Source organism: Homo sapiens, chromosome 16 (genome assembly GCF_000001405.40).
Source record: "Homo sapiens chromosome 16, GRCh38.p14 Primary Assembly".
Lineage (NCBI taxonomy): Eukaryota > Metazoa > Chordata > Mammalia > Primates > Hominidae > Homo > Homo sapiens.
This window is the reverse complement of record NC_000016.10, coordinates 33,108,153-33,131,228: the sequence shown is the minus strand read 5'-3', so window position 1 is coordinate 33,131,228 and position 23,076 is coordinate 33,108,153. Positions and strand designations below refer to the sequence as shown.

At 43.5% G+C, this 23,076-nt stretch overlaps 2 pseudogenes; one reads left to right on the top strand and one right to left on the bottom strand.

Moving 5' to 3' along the window:
* Positions 1-444: 444 nt before the first annotated feature.
* Positions 445-2,047, bottom strand: LOC107987232 (COX assembly mitochondrial protein 2 homolog; annotated as a pseudogene).
* HERC2P8 (HERC2 pseudogene 8) overlaps positions 3,140-23,076 on the top strand; it is a 33,058-nt pseudogene continuing 13,121 nt past the window's right edge.

The window sequence follows — 23,076 nt, the reverse complement described above, 5'->3', positions numbered from 1 at the left end:
ATGGTTCAATTTCTCATGGGTCACTTTTCATTACAAGGATTCTGGAGAGCAAATAAGACAGGATTCTCTCAGGTATCAACCCAGTCTTTTTTTTTTTTTTTTTTTTTTGAGACAGAGTCTCGCTCTGTGGCCCAGGCTGGAGTGCAGTGGCGCCATCTTGGCTTACTGCAACCTCTGCCTCCCGGGTTCAAGAGATTGTCCTGCTTCAGCCTCCCGAGTAGCTGGGATTACAGGCCCACGCCACCATGCCTGGCTAATTTTTGTATTTTTGGTAAAGACAGCGTTTCACCATATTGGTCAGGCTGGTCTCGAACTCCTGACCTCAGGTGATCCACCCGCCTCGGCCTCCCAGAGTGCTGGGATTACAGACGTGAGCTACCGTGCCCGGGCCAACCCATAGTCTTTCAGTCTTCTCTCAGCCAAGGCATCCAGTGAAAATACAATTTATTTTTCAGATTCCTCTGGAGAATTAAAAAGTCTCTTTTGCGGCTGGACACGGTGGCTCACACCTGTAATCTCAGCACTTTGGGAGGCTGAGGTGGGCAGATCACAAGGTCAGGAGATCGAGACCATCCTGGCCATAGCCAACACGGTGAAATCCTGTCTCTACTAAAAATACAAAAATTAGCTGGGTATGGTGGCACACACCTGTAGTCCCAGCTATGTGGGAGGCTGAGGCAGAAGAATTGCTTGAACCCAGGAGGCGGAGGTTGCAATAAGCCAAGATTGAGCCACTGCACTTGCTCTGGTGACAGAGCAAGACTCCGTCTCAAAAAAAAAAAAAAAAAAGTCTCTTGCATCAAATTGCCATAGTCTCTGCTCTTGGTCCTCTTTTCCATGTACTCATTCTTCAAGGATTTATTTTCTCATTGCCTGATCAAGATCATTGCAATGACCAAAAAATTTTCGGATGCTGTGATTTTTGTAATATTCCTTTAAAAAGTTAATCATGATGTTGCGTTCTTCAGTGTGCAAGTGTGGAGATGTCAGGATGCCTCTTTAAGACAAGATGATGGGTCACAGCAGTGCCATACCACTCACAGCCACACCAGGAGAGCTGAAGGGGCAGTCACCAACGAAGATGCCCGACCCAGAAGTTGGCTGCCAGGGAGCCAAAAGCCAGGTCACTCCACAGGTGGCCAATGCCTGGGGGAGCCCTCCACCGCCCAAGCTTATTATTATTATTATTATTTTGAGACGGAGTCTGGCTCTGTCTCCCAGGCTGGAGTGCAGTAGCACGATCTTGGTTCACTGCAACCTCCACCTCGTGGGTTCAAGCAATTCTCCTGCCTCAGCTTCCCGAGTAGCTGGGACCACAGGCACGTGCCACCTCACCTGGCTAATTTTATTTTTTGAACAGACAGGGTATTGTTATGTTGTCCAGGCTGGTCTTGAACTCCTAGGCTCAAACGATCCTCCCACTTCAGCCTCCCAAAGTGCTGGGACTACAGGTGTGAGCCACACCTGGCCAGGTTCTACTTTTTAATATTTAAAATATCTGAAATAGGCCGGGCACGGCGGCTCACACCTGTAATCCCAGAACTTTGGTAGGCTGAGGCGGGCGGATCACCAGAGGTCAGCAGTTTGTGATGAAACTCCGTTCCTACTGAAAATACAAAAATTAGCCGGGTGGGTGGCAGATGCCTGTAATCCCAGCTACTCGGAAAGCTGAGGCACCTAAACCCGGGAGGTGGAGGTTGCAGTGAGCTGATATCATGCCACTGCAGTCCAGCCTCCGCGACGCAATGAGACTGTCTCAAAAAAAAAAAAAAAAAAAAAAGATGGTGTCAGTGATTTCTGCTACATCAGCTCTGGAGGCACTCCGTACCTGATTGCTCCACTTTTAGTGGTGCTAAATTCAAATAATTCAGCTGGTGAGAAACTGACTCCCGTGGGAGTGCGGGCGTGCGTGCGTGCCGCGGAAATCCCGCCTTCCGGCGCCGGCGGTTGGCCCTGGCTGCAGTGGGTGAGCTCCAAGTAGGAAGATAAACGGGATTGCGGGAAGCGGGAGAGTCAGGAGGAGCAGGGAAGGGCTCCTCTTCCCCATTGGCTGCGCCCGCAGAGCCGCCTTGCGATTGGCGGTAAGCGCGGGTCGGTGGAGGGGGCGGCAGTCCCGCGCGGGCACGCCCCTCGGGTAGCGAGAGGCGTCGGGATCGCGGGCGCCGGCTGAGCCAGCGGCTGCTGGGAGGCTGTGTGCGCACGCCTGCGGGGCGAGGAGGCCGGGCCCTGCGCCTCAGGTCCTGGCCTGGGGCACCGGGGCGTCCGGCGTCGGAGGCGGTGCGGGGTTGGCGGGAGGCACAAGGGGTGGGGGGGCGGGGGGGGGGGGTTGCTGCGCGGACCGCCCGCGGCGCAGCCCCCTGCCTCTCTCTATCTCTAAGTGGTGGTGGCTGTGGGTTTTTCTGCAGGTGAGCCTTTTGAGTAATTTGTTTCATGCAGGCGCCCTGCTGTTGGGTAAAGCGGCAGATTCACGCTGCTGTCATTTGTCGTTCAAACGATGGGCTTCCTGGCAGGGCGCGGTGGCTCAAGCCTGTAATTCCAGCACTTTGGGAGGCCGAGGCGGGAGGATCATGAAGTCAGGAGATCGAGATCATCCTGGCTAACATGGTGAAACCCCGTCTCTACTGAAAATACAAAAAAAAAAATTAGTCGGGCTGGTGGCGGGCGCTGGTACTCCAGGCTACTCGGGAGGCTGAGGCAGGAGAATGGCATGAACCCGGGAGGCGGAGCTTGCAGTGAACTGAGATCCCGCCACTGCACTCCAGCCTGGGCGACAGAGGGAGACTCCATCTCAAACAAAACAAAACAAAAAATGATGGGCTTCCTGTCATGTGTGTGTGTACCTTTTGGATTTGAGGGCAGGGGTATGACATTGTGATTTGGCCTCCTGTGACAGTCCATTCTCAAGGTCTCGCCAGCGTGGTGCAGAAACCCGGCATACCTTGCCTATCTAGGAAGGAGGCTTTCCCTTCCCCACCTCCCTCTCCCTCCATCTCTTCCCTCTATCTCTCTTTCCTCTTCATTCCCTTCCCCGAGCTCTTCTCTCCCATCTTTCTGTTCTTTTTTTTCTGCATTAAACTTTTCGGGAGTGTCTTTGTAAAATATTAAAAAGCGTTAGGTCTTCAACATGTATGTTTACTTGCAGGCCTGAGAACTGGGAGGAAGCTGGAGAAAAGATGCCCTCTGAATATTTGTGTTTGGCTGCCCAGGCTCGCCTTGACTCCAAATGGTTGAAAACAGATATACAGGTGGGGTTTGACATGTCTCTTTCTTGGTGTATTTCTGCTTCCATGTTTAAATTTCTCGTGTAAGTCTTTTTTTTTTTAGGGTATGTAAGGGGAAGTCAGTTGTTTCTTGCTATAGTAGAGGAGCAGGTTTGTTTCCTGTAACTTAAAATGTAACAGTCTTTATGGCTGTTTTTGTAGATCGTGCACGGCTGCCTTTTAATTAGTTTCTTGCAAGTGCACGAAACTTGAGATCTATGAATAGGCAAAAATTTTTTCCTATTTTTTTATTACTGGTTAAGAAATCTGCCACACTCCTAACCATATGATGGTGACTGTTATTTGTTACTGATAGTTTTTGAGCTGTTTAGTTAACTGTGCAGGGGAAAGTTGGAGAAGTAAGTTGCAGTAATTATGGCCAATAGAAACGCACTCATTTTATGAGGTCTTGTGTTTGTGTTTTTGGAGAGACAAGAGTTAGTTCAGTCGAGGTGTTTGTTTTGTATTTGTATGCAATACAAGGTCTAAGGACAATTGTGTTGAAACTGAGGTCATGATGTTGGAATCTTAAGGGCTGAAGGTTCCAAATAAATGGTATATATAGAATTCTCTCTGACTCGAAATTGTCCCTTTCTGGACCTCCGGATGCTGAGGCTAAGAATGTCCATATGATAGGGCCTTCCATGACAGGAGTCAGCAATCTTTTTTTTTTTTTTTCTTTCACGTATCTGTAATTCATTCTGTATATTTTAAAAAGTTTTAAGCTCTCTTCCTAGCCCTAGTATTTGTTAATAAATTAAAACATTTCCCAAAGTGTTTTTTTGTGAAACAATAATTCTAAAAGATGCTCTAAGAAAAGCTAAGCACATGGAAAAATCCAAAGTATATGTTTTATTTATTACATTTGATGAATTTGTTGTTTGCTTCTTTTTCCTCTCAAGAGGGAGCCTTGCTGTGTTGCTCAGGCTGGAGTGCAGTGGCATGATCTTGGCTCACTGCAACCTCCGCCTCCCGGGTTCAAGCAGTTCTCTGCCTTAGCCTCCTGAGTAGCTAGGATTACATGCACCCTCCACCACGCCCAGCTAATTTTTGTATTTTTAGTAGAGACGGAGTTTCGCCATATTGGCCAGGCTGGTCTTGAACTCCTGACCTCATGATCCACCTGCCACGGCCTCCCAAAGTGTTAGGATTATAGGCGTGAGCCTCCGCACCCGGCCCACGTTTGATGGATATTTTTGTCCTTTGTTCTTTTAAAAATTGTGGTTAGAAAGCAGAGCATAATTGTTCTTTATGTAGATCCCAACTGATTGGGGTTTTTAGGGAGATTTTTTGGCATTCAGTAAATGTTTTTATTTTCCATTATTAAGACTATGAATATTTTATTTTATTTTCTGAGACAGGGTCTTGCTCTGTTGCCCAGGCTGGAGTACTGTGGCATTATCTTGGCTCACTGCAACCTTTGCCTCCTGGGTTCAAGCAATTCTCCTGCCTCAGCCTCTCAAGCTGCTGGGATTACAGGTGGCTGCCACCATGCTGGGCCAATTTTTGTATTTTTAGTAGAGTTGGAGTTTCACCATGTTGGCCAAGCTTGTCTGAAACTCCTGACCTCAAGTGATCCGCCCGCCTCAGCCTCCCAGCGTGCTGGGATTGTAGGTGTGAGCCACTGCCCTGGCCCATTTTCACTTTTCATTAGCTGCTATTTTCCCCCATTTATTTCCTACCTTTCTGTGTATGATTTCTGAATGAAATGTATTTCATGTCTTAACCTTCTGAATTGTTTGTTCTCTCATTTTCCATGTTGTTAAGGAAAATAAGAGGCTAAGTGAGATGTATTAAATTTGCATATAGTTTCTCAGATCAGGATAAAGGCTCATCTGTTGCAGAACGGGACTCTGCTCTTGCTTCACCCAGGATGCGTTTCCTAGTTCCTTCCTAGAGTGGGGCCACGCCCTGCTCCAGCCTTCCAGACCCAGCTCCCTGCTCTGACATGATTCCACTGGACTGTATTCCAACTGTCCTACCTGGACCTAGATATTTTCTTTGTTTTTTTGTTTGTTTGTTTGTTTTTTGTTTTTGAGATGACGTTTTACTTGGCGGTCCAGGCTGGAGTGCAGTGGCGATCTTGGCTCACTGCAACCTCCGCCTTCCAGGTTTAAGCAATTCTCCTGCCTCAGGCTCCCAAGTAGCTGGGATTACAGGTGCATGCCACCACACCTGGCTAATTTTTGCATTTTTAGTAGAGACGGTGTTTCACCATGTTGGCCAGGCTGGTCTCGAAATCCTGACCTTGTGATCTGCTCGCCTCGGCCTCCCAAAATGCTGGGATTATAGGTGTGAGCCACCGCACCCAGCCAACTTTTTTTTTATTAAAAAACTTACATGAAATTTATTTTATTGTGGTATCTAGTTCAGTAAATTTTGACCCTATAGATTCATTTAACCCCCGCCATCATCAGGATGGAGAAGTTTCATCACCCCAAAAGCTCCCTTAAGGTGCTGCTTTTTATCACATATCCCCTGGCCTCATACCCTGGCAACCACTGATCTGTTCTCCATCAGTATAGGGTATTCTTTTTGAGAATGTCATGTGAGTGGAACCATATTTTAAGTAACGTTTTGAAACCATCTTCATTTACTCCTAGTTATATGTTTGAGATATATTGTTGTTCTGTGTATTAATAGTTCTTTTTATTGATGAATGGTGTTTCATCATTTGGATGTACCACATTGTGTTTATCCATTCTGCTATTGTAGGACCTTGTGGTTGTTTCCGTTTTTCTTTCACAATTGTAATCCTGCTGTGAGCATTTCTGTACAGATTTTGTGTGAATATAGTTTCCATTTCCCTAGGATAAAGACCTAGTAGTGTGAAAATTGGGTCATGTGCTGAACTGTTTTCCGAAGTGGCTGTTTTAGTTTGCATTCCTGCTGGTAATCTGTCACGTTTCTGTTGCTCTGTGTCTTTGTTAGCACTTGGTGTTATCAGTGTTTTTTAGTTGAGCCATTCTAACACGTCTAGTGGGATCTCATTGTGGTTTAAATTTGCATTTCCATAATGGCTAACAATGCTGAATATCATGTTCTTCTTTGCCACTCTTGTATCCTTTGTGAAGTTTCTGTTCAGATCTTTTGCACAGAAAAAGCTGTATCATGGAACCAGTAAAATAACCAAGGAGAGGTTGATTAAAGTTCTGTTTATAATCCTAAAAGATTCCTGCCTTAGGGATATGGGATGGCTGAACATAAGACACCAACACTGGACAGATGAAATAGCAGTTTATTAGTCACGCATGCTCACAGCCCTGGGGGTGGGGGACACCGCATGTCACACGGGGGCTGCACTTGGGAACAGAGTGAACCACGAGGGGCTGTGGGAGGCACATTTTGTAGTAAGAAGAGGGTGAAATGACCTTGCTTCCGTGGGAAGATGTGATTGGCTTGTTGGAATAACTCTGGACCAGCAGGGATGAGCAGGCTGGGGTCGGGTCTCCGCGATAAGGAGGGTTGTTTGGCTCTGGGATCTTATCCGTGGGAGCAGAGCTTGGAGGAGACCTTGTGGTTAGGCTATTTGAGGCCTTCTTGATTTTACTGACGTCAAGGCAGCACATAATATTTAGTCTTAATTTCAGGCCACACAAGACATTCCTCTGTATCTACTTTCTGTGGCACTTTTCAAAAGGTTTTGTCCTTAGTGTTTAGCAGTTGATTATGATGTGCCTCATCATGGCTTCCTTTGGATTTATCTTGTTTGGGCTTTGCACAGATTCTTCAATCTGCCTAGGTTTCTGTCATTTGCTGAACCTAGGAAGTTTTCAGCTATTAGTTCTTTAGATTTTTTTTCCAGCATTGTACCTTTTCTCTCCTGTTATTAACCTGTGGGGTCTGTGCTAATTCTAGGTAGTTAGTTTCAGAATTGAATTGCATTGTGGGACACATAGCTGGGTGTCGCAAAGAACTGGAGAATTGCTTGGTGCAAAAGTCCATACATTTGGCGTCAGAAGTGTTGTAAACAGAGGAACTGTTTCCTTAGGGATTTTTAGATACTCATTATTTATAATCTGGATGGGATATCATGTCTTTCACCGATTGAGGTACATTTTTCTAATTATGTTGTTTAGACGTTTAGTCACAGCCTTCTGTGATGGACCGTGTTTACACTTCAAGGTTAAGGTTAGTTCTCTCTTCTCTTCGCTTACTATGTCAGGAGTTTTATGACAGTTGTTTTTGACTGAAACGTTACATTGTCAGTGGCCTAAAGTCATTTTTCCCAGCTTTTCCTTTGTGTCCCAGTGCTCTTGAATTATGCTATCAGTGACAGCGCCCCTGCATAGCAGTGCTTGCCAGTTGGCAGTGGAGTAGGGCCTTGGAAAGGGTTAAAAGATTTTTGAATCATACTCCTTTTCTACACCCTCCCTTTTCCCATGGGTACGCAAGCATTGGGACTCAATGGATGGAAGCAATTCGTGTGAAATTGAAGTAGGTAAATATCAAATACTAAGTTTCTCAGTTGTGAAATCTACTAGGAAGTTAATGAAATATCATTTTGGAAGACATGCTTTAAATAATTTGATATATTGGTTTCTTTTCTTTTCTTTTCTTTTCTTTTTTTTTTTCAGATGGAGTCTTGCTCTGTTGCCCAGGCTAGAGTGCAGTGGTGCCATCTCGGCTTACCGCAAGCTCCGCCTCCCGGGTTCATGCCATTGTCCTGCCTCAGCGTCCCGAGTACCTGGAACTATAGGTGTCCACCATCATACCTGGCCAATTTTTTGTATTTTCAGTAGAGACGGGGTTTCACTGTGTCAGCCAAGATGGTCTCCATCTTCTGACCTCGTGATCCACCGGCCTTGGCCTCTTAGAGTGCTGGGATTACAGGCATAAGCCACCACTCCCGGCCGATATATTGGTTTGTTTATGAAAATTATACTGGATCTGTTACAGGTATGATTGATATATTTTATTTTTGAGTTGTCAAACATTCAGTTAATGATGTGTGTTGTAACTTTTCAGGGAGGGACATTTGCAGAGACTGACTAATGGTATGGCATTCTGAAAAGCGGTTACAGATTAAAAAAATTTTAATTCTGCAGATGATAGTGTCAAACCAAGTGGAACAAAGAAAGAAGATCTGGATGACAAAGAGAAAAAAGATGAAACTCCTGCACCTGTATATAGGGCCAAGTCAATTCTGGAGAGCTGGGTATGGGAGTAAGCAACCAGGTAATCTTTGATCAGAGATAGAAATTAGTATAGACATTTTGCCTCCAGATCCTCAGGTGGTTTTAGAAATTGGTTCTCTAATTCTGTAGGAGAAGGTTGATACTGGTATAGGCTTACACGTCATTGAAACTGGAAAAGGTAGCTAGATATTCTTCTACTCATGTTTTGGATAATGAGATATTTTATGCTTCACACACTTGGAGTATGTCATCTACTGTAATACGGTATCTGAATGAATACTTTAAATAAAATACATTTCTGTAAGTTAATTGTATACTTTAAAAATCTCTGAAAAATTTGAGTAGCAAGTCTCAGAAACTTGGTTCTAAATATTAAGAATATATCCTTCCTTGGGAGGGAGCATGTAGTAAACATGTTAGTGTGATTGTAAGCATACTGTCTTTCTGGAGGTCGCTGTGTTCCTGCATCCACTGTTTTCATTTCAGGGATGTTCACAGAACGCCAGGCACCAAAAGGCCAGAAGCATGCCCCTGCAGGACCAGCACTTGGCTCTGGCCATCCTGCTGGAGCTGGCTGTGCAGAGAGGCACGCTGAGGTGAGGGCTTGTGCAGAATGGGAACGCTTTGGGGAAGCGCCTCTGTATCCAAATACCTGTTGCATTGTGTGCATTTCACTGAATCGTGTTTGACTGCAGCAGAGAGCACCATGTCCCAGAGCTCGCTCTCTCTTTACCTTTTCTTCACTTCCTTTTTTATGCTCAGTTTTCTAGCCTGGGAACTGTTCTTTTTTTTTTTTTTCTTTCAGTTTTCCTCATTTAATTATTTTTATTCCATGAATTTAAGATCCTAGAACTTCCATGTGAATGTGCTCTTTGAGCTTCTTAACTGGTCTTTCCTATCAGCAGAAGGCGATGACTTGTGCTAAAATCTTAGTGTCAATTCAGTGATTTAATTACCACGGCTTTACTTTCATTTCCTTTCATATCCCAAGTATTGCTTCACTTCTATCTAGCTGTTTGCTTTTATTTTTGATCAACCATGAAAAAAAAAGTTAATCTGTTTTTACTAGGAATAAATGTGTTTTCTCCTTTAGCCAAATGTTGTCTGCCATCCTGTTGTTGCTTCAGCTGTGGGACAGCAGGGCACAGGAAACTGACAATGAGCGTTCTGCCCAGGGCACCAGCACCTTGCTTTTGCCCTTGCTGCAAACGTTCCAGAGCATCATTTGTGGTAAGGATACGCCCCCCTCCGAGGGCAACATGCACGTGAGTGTCATGATGGAACGTTGTGTTTAGGTGGTACTCAAGTCTAGTTATTTTTTACGCAAGACCAGTGTGTGTGTCCACGGCAGTGTTTTTCTCTGGCGTGTGTGTATTTGGTGGTAACAGCAGCGAGTCAGATGAGACAGGTGTGGGAGGCCACTTGTTTGTGGAGAAGACTTGGATCAGTGAGCACCGACTTCCTTGTCAGCACAGAACCAAGCTTGAAACACGCACTTTTAAATCAATACTAGAAAAGAACAACGAAAATAGTGGCTTTCTTTGTTGGCCCTTCCTATGTACTGGGCTCTGTGCAGGGCATGTCATCTGAGCTGTCACTCTGTTTAGTACCAGCTCCCCCCTTAACAGGTGTGGACGCCGAGCTGGGGGAGGAGCAGGCATGTGGGGCCCTGGGTGTAAACCTCCAGGAGTGCTGGTCTTTACAGGTCAAGTACAAGTTGAATTTTGCATCTTTTTGGGAAAGTCTTAGGCATTTCAATATCATGCTTTGGTTTAATTTTTCTATTATTTGTTAGTCTTTAAACTAATGATAATAGGGCTCTTCTGCCTTTAGAAGAATTAGAACTATGATTTAATTTGCAAATGAAAGTAGGTGTTCTCCAGAGTGGGCAATGTTTAGATTAAAATAAAGGTTTTGGTTTTAGATTTCAAGGCCAGCTTGAGATGCTGTTCTGGGTTCCCACAGAGGTGGTTCTGCCTTTCTCCAGGGGTCCTAGGCCTGTAGGGTGGTTTGGTCATGTTAGTAATCTGTGTGGATTCAACTTACCTGTGGTGTCATAAATGTATACATGCACAGTCAATGTTGTGTACATGTGTACAGCACATTTAGACATTTATACAGTCAGTTTGTATGCTACATAAATATATAGATGTATAGTATAACTGTATCATCGACATTGTCATTTGATGGGTCAAATGAGTCAATACCAAAATATAAAGAGTGGGTAAAGGCTAACTGTATTACTTTAATTTTTCCCACCATTTCTGAATGTTTGTTTACCTTTCCTTTCTAGCTTTTGTCTGGCCCTCTGAGCCCCAGTGAGTTTCCTGAGGTACCTCACCCTCCACAAGACAACGAGCTTGCCATTGATCTGCAACAAACGGCGGTTGTTGTCATGGCCCATTTAGAAGATCTGGCTACACCCTGTAGATGCCTCTGCCGTGTAGCTGTCCGACGTCTCATAAGGTGTGTGTGCAAGAACCGTGTTCTCCATGGGTTTTGTAGCTAGTACCACTTGTAGGTTCTCATCCTGGGCCCGTGTGGAGACTTGCTTTTTCTGGTATTGGTAGGGGGAGCTGGCCTGTGGTTTTTAAACGTGTTTGCAGTTGAAGGTGTTATCCGTGTTGAGAGTGAATGATGAGCAAGCTGAGGCGCACAGGCCTGGGGACCCAACCTGGGGGCCCAGGTTCCAGGTTCAGGTGGCACAGCCCCAGAGAGCTCCCCTTTACCCACAGCCCCAGGCCCTCCCACCTTCTACAGAGGGTTCCACAGCCTTCTTTATACTCTGAACGTGGGCTGTCTTAGTATGTAATGCTGGTTATAGTAGTGACAGTATAATTATATATTATATCTGTTATGTAATAGTAATGGTAATAGTAGTGATTTGCATGTGTGGAGCACCTGTAGGGTGCAGGCCCACTGAGGACCTCATACACGCTGTTGTATCTCATTATGTCAATGAGAAAACTGCCTTTGGGAATGTTAGTGAACTTTGCCAGTGTATAACAGTAATCCTAGTTTTGAATCCAGATTTTTCTAACATTTTATTTCTAGTATGAAGAGTGTTTATTTTGTTTTACAGTCGTTAAAAAAAAAAGAGGAATACAGTCACATGGTTCAAAAATCAAACCTAGGCAGAGACACACTGTCACTTCCCCTGCCCACCCCTTCCACCCATTTTCCTACCTGCTCTCTCTGGCTTTTCAGTCTCCTCTGTAACCTCCTTGTTCTCTGGAATGAGTATGCTAGTGGTAGCATGTTGCATTACTTGTGTTGCTTGTTTTTTTTTTTACTAGCCATATATACTGGAGTACTTTATCAGAGTGTCGCTCTTTGTTTTTATAAAGCAGCTTAGTCTTCAGTGTGTAGATATGTCTTTTATGTATCATTCTTCAGTGAGTCTCTTATTGGTGGACACTTGGGCTTATTGCCACAGTGTTGCTACACAAATAGTGCTGAGGGTCGGTTGTGGTGGCTCATGCCTGTAATCCCAGCACTTTGGGAGGCCAGGGTAGGTGGATCACCTGAGGTTTGGAGTTTGAGATGATCAGCCTGGCCAACTTGGAGAAACCCCGTCTCTACTAAAAAATACAAAAGTTAGTGGGGCATGGTGGCACATGCCTGTAATCCCAGCTACTCGGGAGGCTGAGGCAGGAGAATCGCTTGAACCTGGGAGGCAGATGTTGCAGTGAGCCGAGATTGCGCCACTGCACCTTAGCCTGGGCAACAAGAGTGAAACTGTCTCAAAAAACAACAACAACAATAACAAAAAACACAAATAGTGCTGCAAGGCCTGACCTGGAACATGTGTCCTCCATGTGTGCACGCGTGTGTGCCTGTGCACATGCACAGGTGGGGATGCACCTAGTGTGGGCTGGTTGTCACCAGATCGCTCCTGTACATCTTGATTTCTCTCACCACCAATAGGGATGCTGGTCTCCCAGCCTTGTGTGTGGGCTTTTGGGATTTTGCCTGCTAAAGCACAAAATGGTGACCCTGATATAGTTTGAGCATTTTAAAATATATTAGTATTTAAGGGCCATTTATACTACTTTTTAATGGGTTCTGTTGAAATGCAATGGAAATGGAAAAATAGCCTGTTCAGTTGCTTCATCATACCTGTTAAATGCGGTAATACGGCGTGGTAGGAGATGGGGTTTCACCATGTTAGCCAGGATGGTCTCGATCTCCTGACTTCGTGATCTGCCTGCCTCGGCCTCCAAAAGTGCTGGGATTACAGGCATGAGCCACTGTGCCCGGCCAATTGGATTATTTTAAAGCATAACTCTGTCTTTAAAACATTTTAAGGCATTTTACCTCTTAATGATAAGGATTTAAGAAAAACCCTACAATATCATTATCCTGTCTATAAGATTAACAGTGATTCCTTAATCTAACATGTAGTCCATGTTACATTTTCCTGGACTATCTCAAAAATGCCTTTTTTAGGTGGTAATTTTGAATTAGGACCTGAATATGTTCTGTGTATTGGCATTGGTTGACATATGCTTCTAGTCTCTTTCCCCAAACAACATGGCTCCAGGCCCTCCTCTCCCTGTCTCTGATCATACCATTTTCTTTTTCAAAGAAGCAAGTTGGTTATTTTGGAGAACTTCACATTTTCTGAACTTGGTTGATTGCATTCTCTTATTCTAGACCAACATATTCTTCTGTTAGTTACATTAATCTGCTGGTTAGATCTAGAGGTTTGGTTGGATTTGAATTCAGTCTCGTTGGGGTGGTGTTATGTCTGGAGTCATGCTGCATGCTTTCTGTTGGCTCAGGAGGCCTGTAATGCTCAGTGGCTCCCCGCTTTAGTTCTGTGAAGCTAGACCAGGGAATTCATGTGTTGCGTGTCCTCTATAAAATCCCCTACCAACCTTGCCCTCTGCTGTCTGGTTAGCAGGAGGTACAATTTGTACAGGAAGGACATAATCTAAGCTTGACTTCTTGAACTGCCACCTCCCTTTAACTATTTTTCATAATATTGAGTTGGTATCCTAGCACTTGCATAGGTGACCACCACTCAGGTTTTCTTTTTTTTTGAGTATTTTTATGAACTAATAGACTTCTATTGATTTGGTGTTTCTTTTCTTTTTTAGCTTTTTCCCCCTAATATACACATTTAAAGGCGTAAATGCCCTCAAGCATGCATTTAGTTGTATGTCACCAATTTTGATCTGCAATATTTTGATTATTAATTGAACTCATTTTCTAATTTTCATAGTCATTTTTTCTTAGAATTTTGGGTTACTTATAAGTGTATTTTGTAATTTTCAAATATGTGGATGAATATTTTCATTTTCTGTATATACAGAGTCATTTTTATTTTATTTTGAATGAACTTTTGAAAACCTATTTCTAATTTAACTGCATTGTAGTCAGCACACATGCTGTGTAACTTTATTTCTTTGAAATCTGTTGAGATTTGTTCTATGGCCTGGCATGGCCTGATTTGATATTCATGCTGCCTAGATTTTTTTTAAAGCATTCTATATTTAATAGAATTTGTATGTGTGGTATTAGTTTCAGAGCTAGGTATGTATTTCTCCCATTGTGATTGTGGATTTGTTTATTTCTGCTTGTAGTTCTTTCACACAGTTTGTTCTTTTCATTTTACCTGTTGATTGATCAATGGACTGATTCTGGTTTCTGTATACAGAGAGTCATTTTTTTACAGGTCAGAACTGTAGAAATAATGAGGAAGTGACACTTATATGCAAAGCTGATTTGGAGAACCATAATAAAGATGGAGGCTTCTGGATTGTGATTGATGAGAAAGTGTATGATATAAAGGACTTCCAGACACAGTCGTTAACAGGAAATAGTATTCTTGGTAAGATTACCCTTCTTATTTCCTGGTTAAAAGTTACAGCCTGTATCATTTTAAGCAGAGTATTTGGCTTATAAATGATTTCTTTAGTTTTGTGCCAGCCCCCGCATATTTTAATGTATCTGTGGCTTTGGTGTCTGTCTTATCAACAAATTCAGCACATTTGAAGAATTTCCTTTCATTATGCATTTTTTGTTTTAATACTTGGAACTCATTTCAAGTTCTGAGTTGGCCCAGGCAACCCTGGGAGACAGTGGGAGGTCATTATACTCTGGTAACCCTCACTTTTGAGTTAAGCGCCTAACTTATTTCCTACTCACTGTTTCTCCTATAGCTCTTCAGGCAAGCTGAATTGAACTCCTGTTGCTTTTTCCCTTTTTCTTTCAGCTCAGTTTGCAGGGGAAAACCCAGTGGTAGCTTTGGAAGCTGCTTTCGAGTTTGAAGTCACCCGGGAATCCATGCACGCATTTTGTGTTGGCCAATATTTGGAGGTGAGGCTGTATGCCTTGAGTGATGCAGAGGATGGCAGGGGACACCCTCTGTGTGTTTGTGATAGGAATATTTGGATCTAGAAGTACTGATATCTGGGTCTTTTGGGGGGCATTAGGGATAATATAAAGATCCTTTAGAAGTTTTGTCATAAATGAATTTACATTTATTCGTGTTAGGATCTGTGATGTACTGGTCTTGAAAGATTGTTTTTTAAATGATCAATTTGTGAGAAATATAGACAGTGTTCCACAAGAAAAGAGGTTAAACTTTGGTCTTATGTAGAAATTTGGAATGGCTTATTATATTGAGGTATGTATTTTTTGGGAAGAACTATGTAGAAGTGTAATTCTTTACAATAGAAATATGTCCTTCCTATGTATTCACGAACACATAGAATTTATATACTGGGATTAGCTTTCCAGCTATCCACAAGTAATAAAATGTATTAAATGCCATTAGGGCAGGGCTTAAAGCATTTTATGAAGGGGAGAATTAACTTTGCTGTAAATATCTTCTGTGACTGGAAAAGTTGAACTCTTGCTTTTTTCAGAGTTTGATTTTTGTTAGAATAAATTTCATTTCCTCTACCTGTGTGGTCACAGTCCACTAATACTTGTCATCGAATACTTGTCATAGTTTTGTTGCCCAGTGGGTTCTTTATGCATGTAACAATTCATTATACTTTCTGAAGCATGGTGTACAGTCACTTTGGAAACTGATTCCTAAGGAATATTCTAGCCAAATCATGTATCTGTGCTTTAGTTTTTCTGCGTGTACGGTTGCTGCCAGCTTTATAGGGCATGTGGGTTTATGTGGTATCTGCTGTTACTTGGGCACAGCAGCATCAACTCATTACAGGATGGAGGGGCAGAACACCCAGGGCACCCCTGGGCTCACATGGCGGTACAGCTGCAGGACAGAGCTGTCCTTTTGGTTTTATGTTTTTAATTAATTCTGTTTCCTCAGATTGATGATGAAGTTTATTTTTCCAGCCTGACCAAGAAGTTGTCACCATACCAGATCCGGGAAGTCTCTCTTCACCTCTGATAGACACAGAGAGGAATCTGGGCCTGCTTCTCGGATTACACACTTCCTATTTAGCAATGAGCACACCGCTGTCTCCTGTCGAGATTGAATGTGCCAGTAAGAAAATCTTTGCTTTTTGCTGATTAGCAGATTATTTTTTTTGAACTGTAAGTGCCATTAAGAGTGGGAGAGGGCCAGGCACAGTGGTTCATGCCTGTAATCCCAGCACTTTGGGAGGTTGAGGCATGTGGATTGCTTGAGGTCAAGAGTTTGAGACCAGCCTGGGCAACACGGCAAAACCCCATCTCTACAAAAAACACAAAAATTAGCCAGGCATGGTGGCATGTACTTGTAGTCCCAGATACTCAGGAGCCTGAGGTAGGAGGATCGCTTAAGCCTGGGAGGTTGAGGTTGCAGTGAGTCATGATCATACCACGGCACTCCAGCCGGGGTGACAGAGCAAGACTCTCTCTTTAAAAAAGTAGGAGATGGCCAGGCGGTGGCTCATGCCTGTAATCCCAGCACTTTGGGAGGCTGAGGCGGGTGGATCACCTGAGGTCAGGAGTTCGAGACCAGCCTGGCCAATGTGGTGAAACCCCATGTCTACTAAAAATGCAAAAATTAGCTGGGCGTGGTGACGGGTGCTTGTAATCCCGGTTACTCGGGAGGCTGAGGTAGGAGAATTGCTTGAACCCAGGAGACAGAGGTTGCAGTGAGCCAAGATCGCACCACTGCGCTCCAGTCTGGGTGACAAGAGCGAGACTCCGTCTCAAAAAAAAAGAGGAGGATTCAACACAGTTGATGATGCTACAAAAAATAATAATAAGGATAGTGAGACTCAATCAGGTAGAAACAGCTGTGAGTGGCTGTCATTTGCCCTCATGGTCTGTTGCTGCAGAGGAAGCTAAAAAGTGTGCAGGAGTGTCTACCCGTCTACCCTGTGGTGGTCTCACGTATTGCAGCCTCTGCCTGATGGGCCCAGCATGGCTTTTGTCTCCCTGCATGCCCAGAAATTGCACAGAATGTGGATCAGCTGTTCTCTCAGGGAACAGCGTTCTATTTGAGGACTGCGTTTTTACCAGACCAGGCTCAAGTCAGTTATATTCCAGGATGGCAGCCTTTGTAACCACCTAAAATAATAAGCTTTTTCCTGTCTCCTAAGATGGGTTTACATTTTCCTTCATGTAGTCGTGCATTTCCCATCTGTCTATCTGTCCGTCCGTGTGAGCAGCTTCTGTTGAGCAGTTGCCTGGTGCCGTTACCATGCGAGGTGTTCAGGATGCAGTGATGGATAGGACACGCCTCTGCTTTCAGTTGCTGCTTGTTGATGAGCCAGCATTCTAAGCAGGTCACGTTACAAGGTGGTGAATGGTGAAATGGAGACGTTCATACGTGGTTCTGGGAGAAGAAAGGCTTCACACCGGCAGCAGTCCTGAAATTGCATGAGGGAGCATTCTGGGCAGAAAACACAGGAGTGTCAAGGGCAATGCTGAGAGGAGCAGGGCTTTCCTGCTGCTTGCGAGAGTGGTTGTGGGAGAGGCTTGCGGGAAAGGAGGATCTTGGTGTCCACACAGCCCCCCGTTGGGTGGACCTTTGTGCAGTGCTGGGTGCTGGACTGCCTGTGGTGCCCTCTGAGGTGTCTGCTTCCCTCCCTCCTCCTCAAGGCTCATTGCTTGCCAGAAGATGGGCTTTGTTTAAATTGACAAGGAGGGCAGGGCTGGCGAGCTCCAGAGCAGAGGGTGCCATGAGCCCTGGCAGGTGGGTCCGAGCCACAGGAGGATCAGAGGCTTATCTTGGAGCAGTAAGGAGGGGCTGTCCTGTGCTTAAAGAAAGGGGGCCAGAGAGAGTTGGCATTGGATTAGTGTTTCAGAAGAACGAATGTGGTGGGTTGGGGAATGCTCCTGAGTGCTCTAAAAATCTAAATGTCCAGTAAAAGAACAGTAAGTGCATCCCCGCTTTGATTGCTTGGATTTGGAGCAGTATTTGATAACACAGATCGTTAATAGAGATCTGTAGTGGTGCACATCCTAATTTTGTGTGTATGTGCCGCTCCCTCAAGTGACCATAAGCAGTTGTAATTAACATTTGCACTGGCTGATCCCATGCCTTGCACCATGCACAGGTCTCCTTTCCAGTCCATCGGCCCTCCCGTCTCCAAGGATCTATCCTTCATTAAAGATTGTGTGTTTGTTAAATATTTTCTCCTTTTCATTCCTTTATAAGTGCTCTAGGAATACATAGCCTACCCTGAGGATGTAATTCTTTGTAGAAACCCTTCAGATATGCTGTTCCCTGCCTGGATACTCAGCGTCTGGGTCTTATTCCTCATCTTAGCTCAGTTGTTGCTTCCACAAGTCCCTTACTGACCCTCAGAATAGCGGTGGTCTGTCCTCCGGTCTCCCTGGTACCCCCATAGTCATCCGTTGCACAGTTTTGGACTTGAAATCCTGTGATTAGTTGTGTCAGCGGTGCCCTTTGCTGCCTTCCTTGTTAGAGTGTGCAACTCAGTCTTCACACGGTATCTGTGGAACCAGGCAGCTGCAGGCAGAGCACAGGTATCCAGAGAATTTTGGACTGGAACTACAATCCTGAGTTCTGATGCCGTGCCTGAGGTGTGTGGAATCACCAGAAAGTGTATTCACGTAGATAGAGGAATTACAAGTCAACCTGTGTAAACATGTTAGGTGGAGCTCTTTCATATGAATGATGCTGAATTTTACCTTCTAAATTGAGTGTTCAGTTGAGCATCTTTTTTTTTTTTTAGTATTTATTTTGAGTTGTGCACTTGAGTTTCTCTTTCATGTTTGCGTGTGCATTTTCTAGAATGGCTTCAGTCATCCATCTTCTCTGGAGGCTGCAGACCAGCCAGATCCACTACAGCTACAACGAGGAGAAAGATGAGGACCACTGCAGCTCCCAGTGGGCACACCTGCCAGCAAATCACCACTGCTCCCACAGATGGGCCCTGGGGGACCATTCTCAGGCATTTCTGCAAGTCATTGCAGACAATAACATTCAGGATCACAACGTGAAGGTGAGCTAGGCCTGTCCCCACTGTCACCTCAGTGCTCTGTTTATCTGAGGACTTTGACATAGGAATACTTAGGTGCTCTTTGGTTAACATAGCACAGACTTTGTTTCATGTATTATTTGGAGGGTTTTGAGGTGAGAACCTGATTGTGTTAACATGCTAGCAAGGCTTCGGAAGCATTACTGATTGCAAGTGCATCAGAAGCTGTGGCATGTTTAAGATTTGTGAAGACTCACTGGCCGGCCCTGAAGTTACCTCCAGCTGTTTCTGTTGCAGGGCTTTTTGTGTCAAATAGAAAGGTACTGTAGGCAGTGCCATTTGACCACACCGATCATGTTTCCCCCCGAGCACCCCGTGGAAGAGGTCGGTCGCTTGCTGTTATGTTGCTTCTTAAAACATGAAGATTTAGGTAAGGAGCTCAATATCTGTGTACTTTAGCTAGACTGCAGATTCCTCGACTAACCTGTGGTACATATTCATTCCTTCCCTGTCCTTCTTTTAAATGTCTTTTTGCAGGTCATGTGGCATTATCTTTAGTTCATGCAGGTGCACTTGATATTGAGCAAATAAAGCACAGAACGTTGCCTAAGTCAGTGGTGGATGTTTGTAGAGTTGTCTACCAAGCAAAATGTTCGCTCATTAAGGTGATATATTTTAATTCTTTTTATTCTGTGCTTTGCAGACAGTTGCAGAAATATTTGTTGTTAAAGTTGTCTTTTCCTGGTTAACTTTGCAGACTCATCAAGAACAGGGCCGTTCTTACAAGGAGGTCTGCACTCCTGTCATCGAACGTTTGAGATTCCTCTCTAATGAATTGAGACCTGCTGTTGGTAATGACCTCTCTATAATCTCTGAGTTTAAATTGTTAAGTTCTTTGCCCCGTTGGAGGAGGATAGCTCAGAAGATAATTCGGGAACGGAGGAAAAAGAGAAGTAAGAATGTAAAAGGACAGAAGATACTATTAAAGCATGTGCTTCACCCTGCCTCGCTGGACCTGTGATTTCAGAGTGAAGTTTCTCTACTGTTGATTCCATGTGACATTTCTACCTGCTGCCATCATTTTTATGTATAGTTATGATTAAATACGGAAATCTCTCCTATTTTTTCAACCGATCAGACAATGAGGCAGTTTAGGAATTGAGTGTGGTATGATTTGATTACTAGTAAATTGATGTTGAAAATGTAAATAATCTTTGCTAAATTGATGGGAACAAGGACGTATTTTTATTTTATTAGTTATCCTGGTAATGAGATATAATGGGAACATTTAAACTTATTGCCATTCTTCTAAAGAAATGTTTTTTGTTTGGAAATATTGAGTATTCTGATACATGGAGAATTATAAAGGGAAGCTGAAAGAGTTACTGACATTTTCCTGGAAGTAGCTGTGTAAGAGTACAGAAAATTGTAGCACCATAAAGTTTTACGGGAGCACAGCCACACCTGTTGCTTTATCTGTGGTTACTTTTTGTGCTACAGCAGCAGAGTTGAGTATTTCCAACAGACTGCGTGGCCTGAAAGACTCAAATGTTCACTCTCTGGCACTTGAGGAAGAGCTTGCTGGCTGCTGGGCTTCCCCTGCTTCGGGGCTTCTCCCCTTGTCACACTCTCACTTTGTCATTTTGTTCTGCCATGGTGATCATTTCACTCTTGTTGTTTGAGCCTTGCAATTTATAATGTTGTTCAGATGTTTATTTGAATGAAATATTTGTCTTTCATGTAAATCTAAGTATTTCCTAATTTAAAATTAATATTTAAGTGTATGATTTTTTATAGTGAATGATGTTTTAAAACACAGTTCCTAAGAAGCCAGAATCTACGGCTGATGAAGAAAAAATTGGAAACGAAGAGAGTGATTTAGAAGAAGCCTGCATTTTGCCTCATAGTCCAATAAATGTGGACAAGAGACCCATTGCAATTAAATCACCCAAGGTGCAGTGTTTTCTGTGATTCTGAGGTTAGCTGAATAGAATCATAGCATGTAGCAAAGGAATCCACAGTCTTGTACCTCTGTACCTGAGCATCCGGAGGGAGGGACGGGCGGTTGTTAGAAATACGGCCCCAGTGATGGTTCATGAACTTGACTTATGATGTCCTGGTCAGAGCTGTAGCTGGAGAAGGGTTTCCTTTTATTTTTGGTACTAGATTGTATCATTAATTATTCACCATTCATTCCTTAAATATATTCTTTGTTCCAGAAACAGTGCTGGGCCCTGTGGCTATTAATATGAACCACAACTTAACTTCGTATGCCAAGCTAGCCTGTTCCAACATATATTAGTATAGAGATAAGTTCACTTATATTTATAGCATAGTTTTAAAACCATGTATTAATTACTAAATTTAACATATTTTAACCAATTTAAACCTATGAGCATTATTTATATTTTACTTGAATAACTTTTAGAGCACAGTTTAATATTAAATAGGGTAGACTAATGATGAAAATTGTTTTCCTTTGTTAGGACAAATGGCAGCCACTGTTGAGTACTGTTACAGGGGTTCACAGATACAAGTGGTTGAAGCAGAATGTTCAGGATCTTTATCCGCAGTCTCCACTCCTCAGTACAATTGCTGAATTTGCCCTTAAAGAAGAGCCAGTGGATGTGGAAAAAATGAGATAGTGCCTACTAAAACAGATAACATTTGATGAGAAATGCTTCTCTGCAGTGGGTAATATACATAACACTTAACTGTATATGCATTGATATTTTGCAGTTGGAGAGAGCAGAGGTTCGCCTGGAAGGGATAGATACAATTTTGAAATTGTATCTGGCGAGCAAGAATTTCTTACTTCCATCTGTGCAGTAAGCGATGTTTTGTGGATGGCAAAGACTTATTCCTGAAGGAATCGATATAGGGTAAAACGTTAGCATATTTTTTTCTTAACTAAGGAAGCTGTGGCAACAGAATGTTGTTCTGTAACAGTTAGAAGTCTGGCAGTGTCCCGAGTCAAATTCTTTATCTTTATTTGAAAGGGAACCTCTTACTGATTGTTTAAAGGATGTTGATTTGATCCCACCTTTTAATCGGATGCTGCTGGAAGTCACCTTTGGCAAGCTGTATGCTTGGACTGTTCAGAACATTCTAAATGTTCTGATGGATGCCAGTGCCAAATTTAAAGAGCTTGGTGAGTCAACAATTGCATCAATGTTATTTTATAGTTTGCCTTTAATTATGTGTTGTGGAAACTTGCAAATGCCAATTTTTGCTTTTGAGAAGACTGTAATAAGTTTGTACTTTGTACTTGTATAATCTATGCTGCTGTCAGCTTTCTCAGATTTTAAACAAAACTTTAAAATTTAGCAGGAGATACAATGTTGAAGTACTCTAGTATAACATTTTTACATTTTGACATTTATATGTGTATCACCACATATCCTAAGTGTCTGTGTCTTATATTAATATTTATTTCCTGGATAGTCTGAGCATCTACAGAGAGTTGATTGGATTGGTTTTGTGGAGGAAAAGTGAGACATAACTTTTATATTTGAAATGGAAGGAATGGAATAGGGCACCAGTGTATTCAGAGAGCAACATGCTAAGTCCTGTAGACAGATGGAACGACCTGTGCATAGAATACAGGGGTTAGGCCCATCGTGCAGCATGACAGAGCTGCCCACTCTGTGGAAACCACTGAAAAATAGTCAGATGTTTAGAGTAATTGCCCGTGCTTTCTGTGTTACTTTTATTCTTGTATCCACGCACAAGAAATGTCAGTGGGTGTCAATGCTTATTAGTCAGATGTTTAAAGTAATAGCCCGTGCTTTCTGCGTTATGTTTATTCTTGTATCCATCACAAGAAATGTAAGTGGGTGTCAATGCTTATTAGGTATCCAGCCGGTTCCCCTGCAGACCATCACCAGTGAGAACCCATTGGGACCGAGCCTGGGGAGCATCCCGCAAGCCCGCTTCCTCCTGATGATGCTCAGCATGCTCACCCTGCAGCACAGCGCAAACAACCTCGACCTCCTGCTCAATTCCGGCACGCTGGCCCTCACTCAGACGGCACTGCGCCTGATTGGTAGGTCTGCACTGGCTTGAGAGCCTTTGGGAAAACGTCAAGATTTTGCTTTGATTTCTTTTTTTTTTTTAAGCTTTTTGTAAATTATGGTAAGACACAAATAGCAGAAAGTGTAGCATTTTAACGTCGCAATTCAGCAGTATTAAATACATTCACAATTTTCTAGAGTCATCACCACTGTCTGGTTGTAGAACTTTTTCATCACTATAAATGCACCCCATTTAGCCATCAGTCCTGACTCACCTGCTCTCCAGCCCCTGGTAGTCACAAAT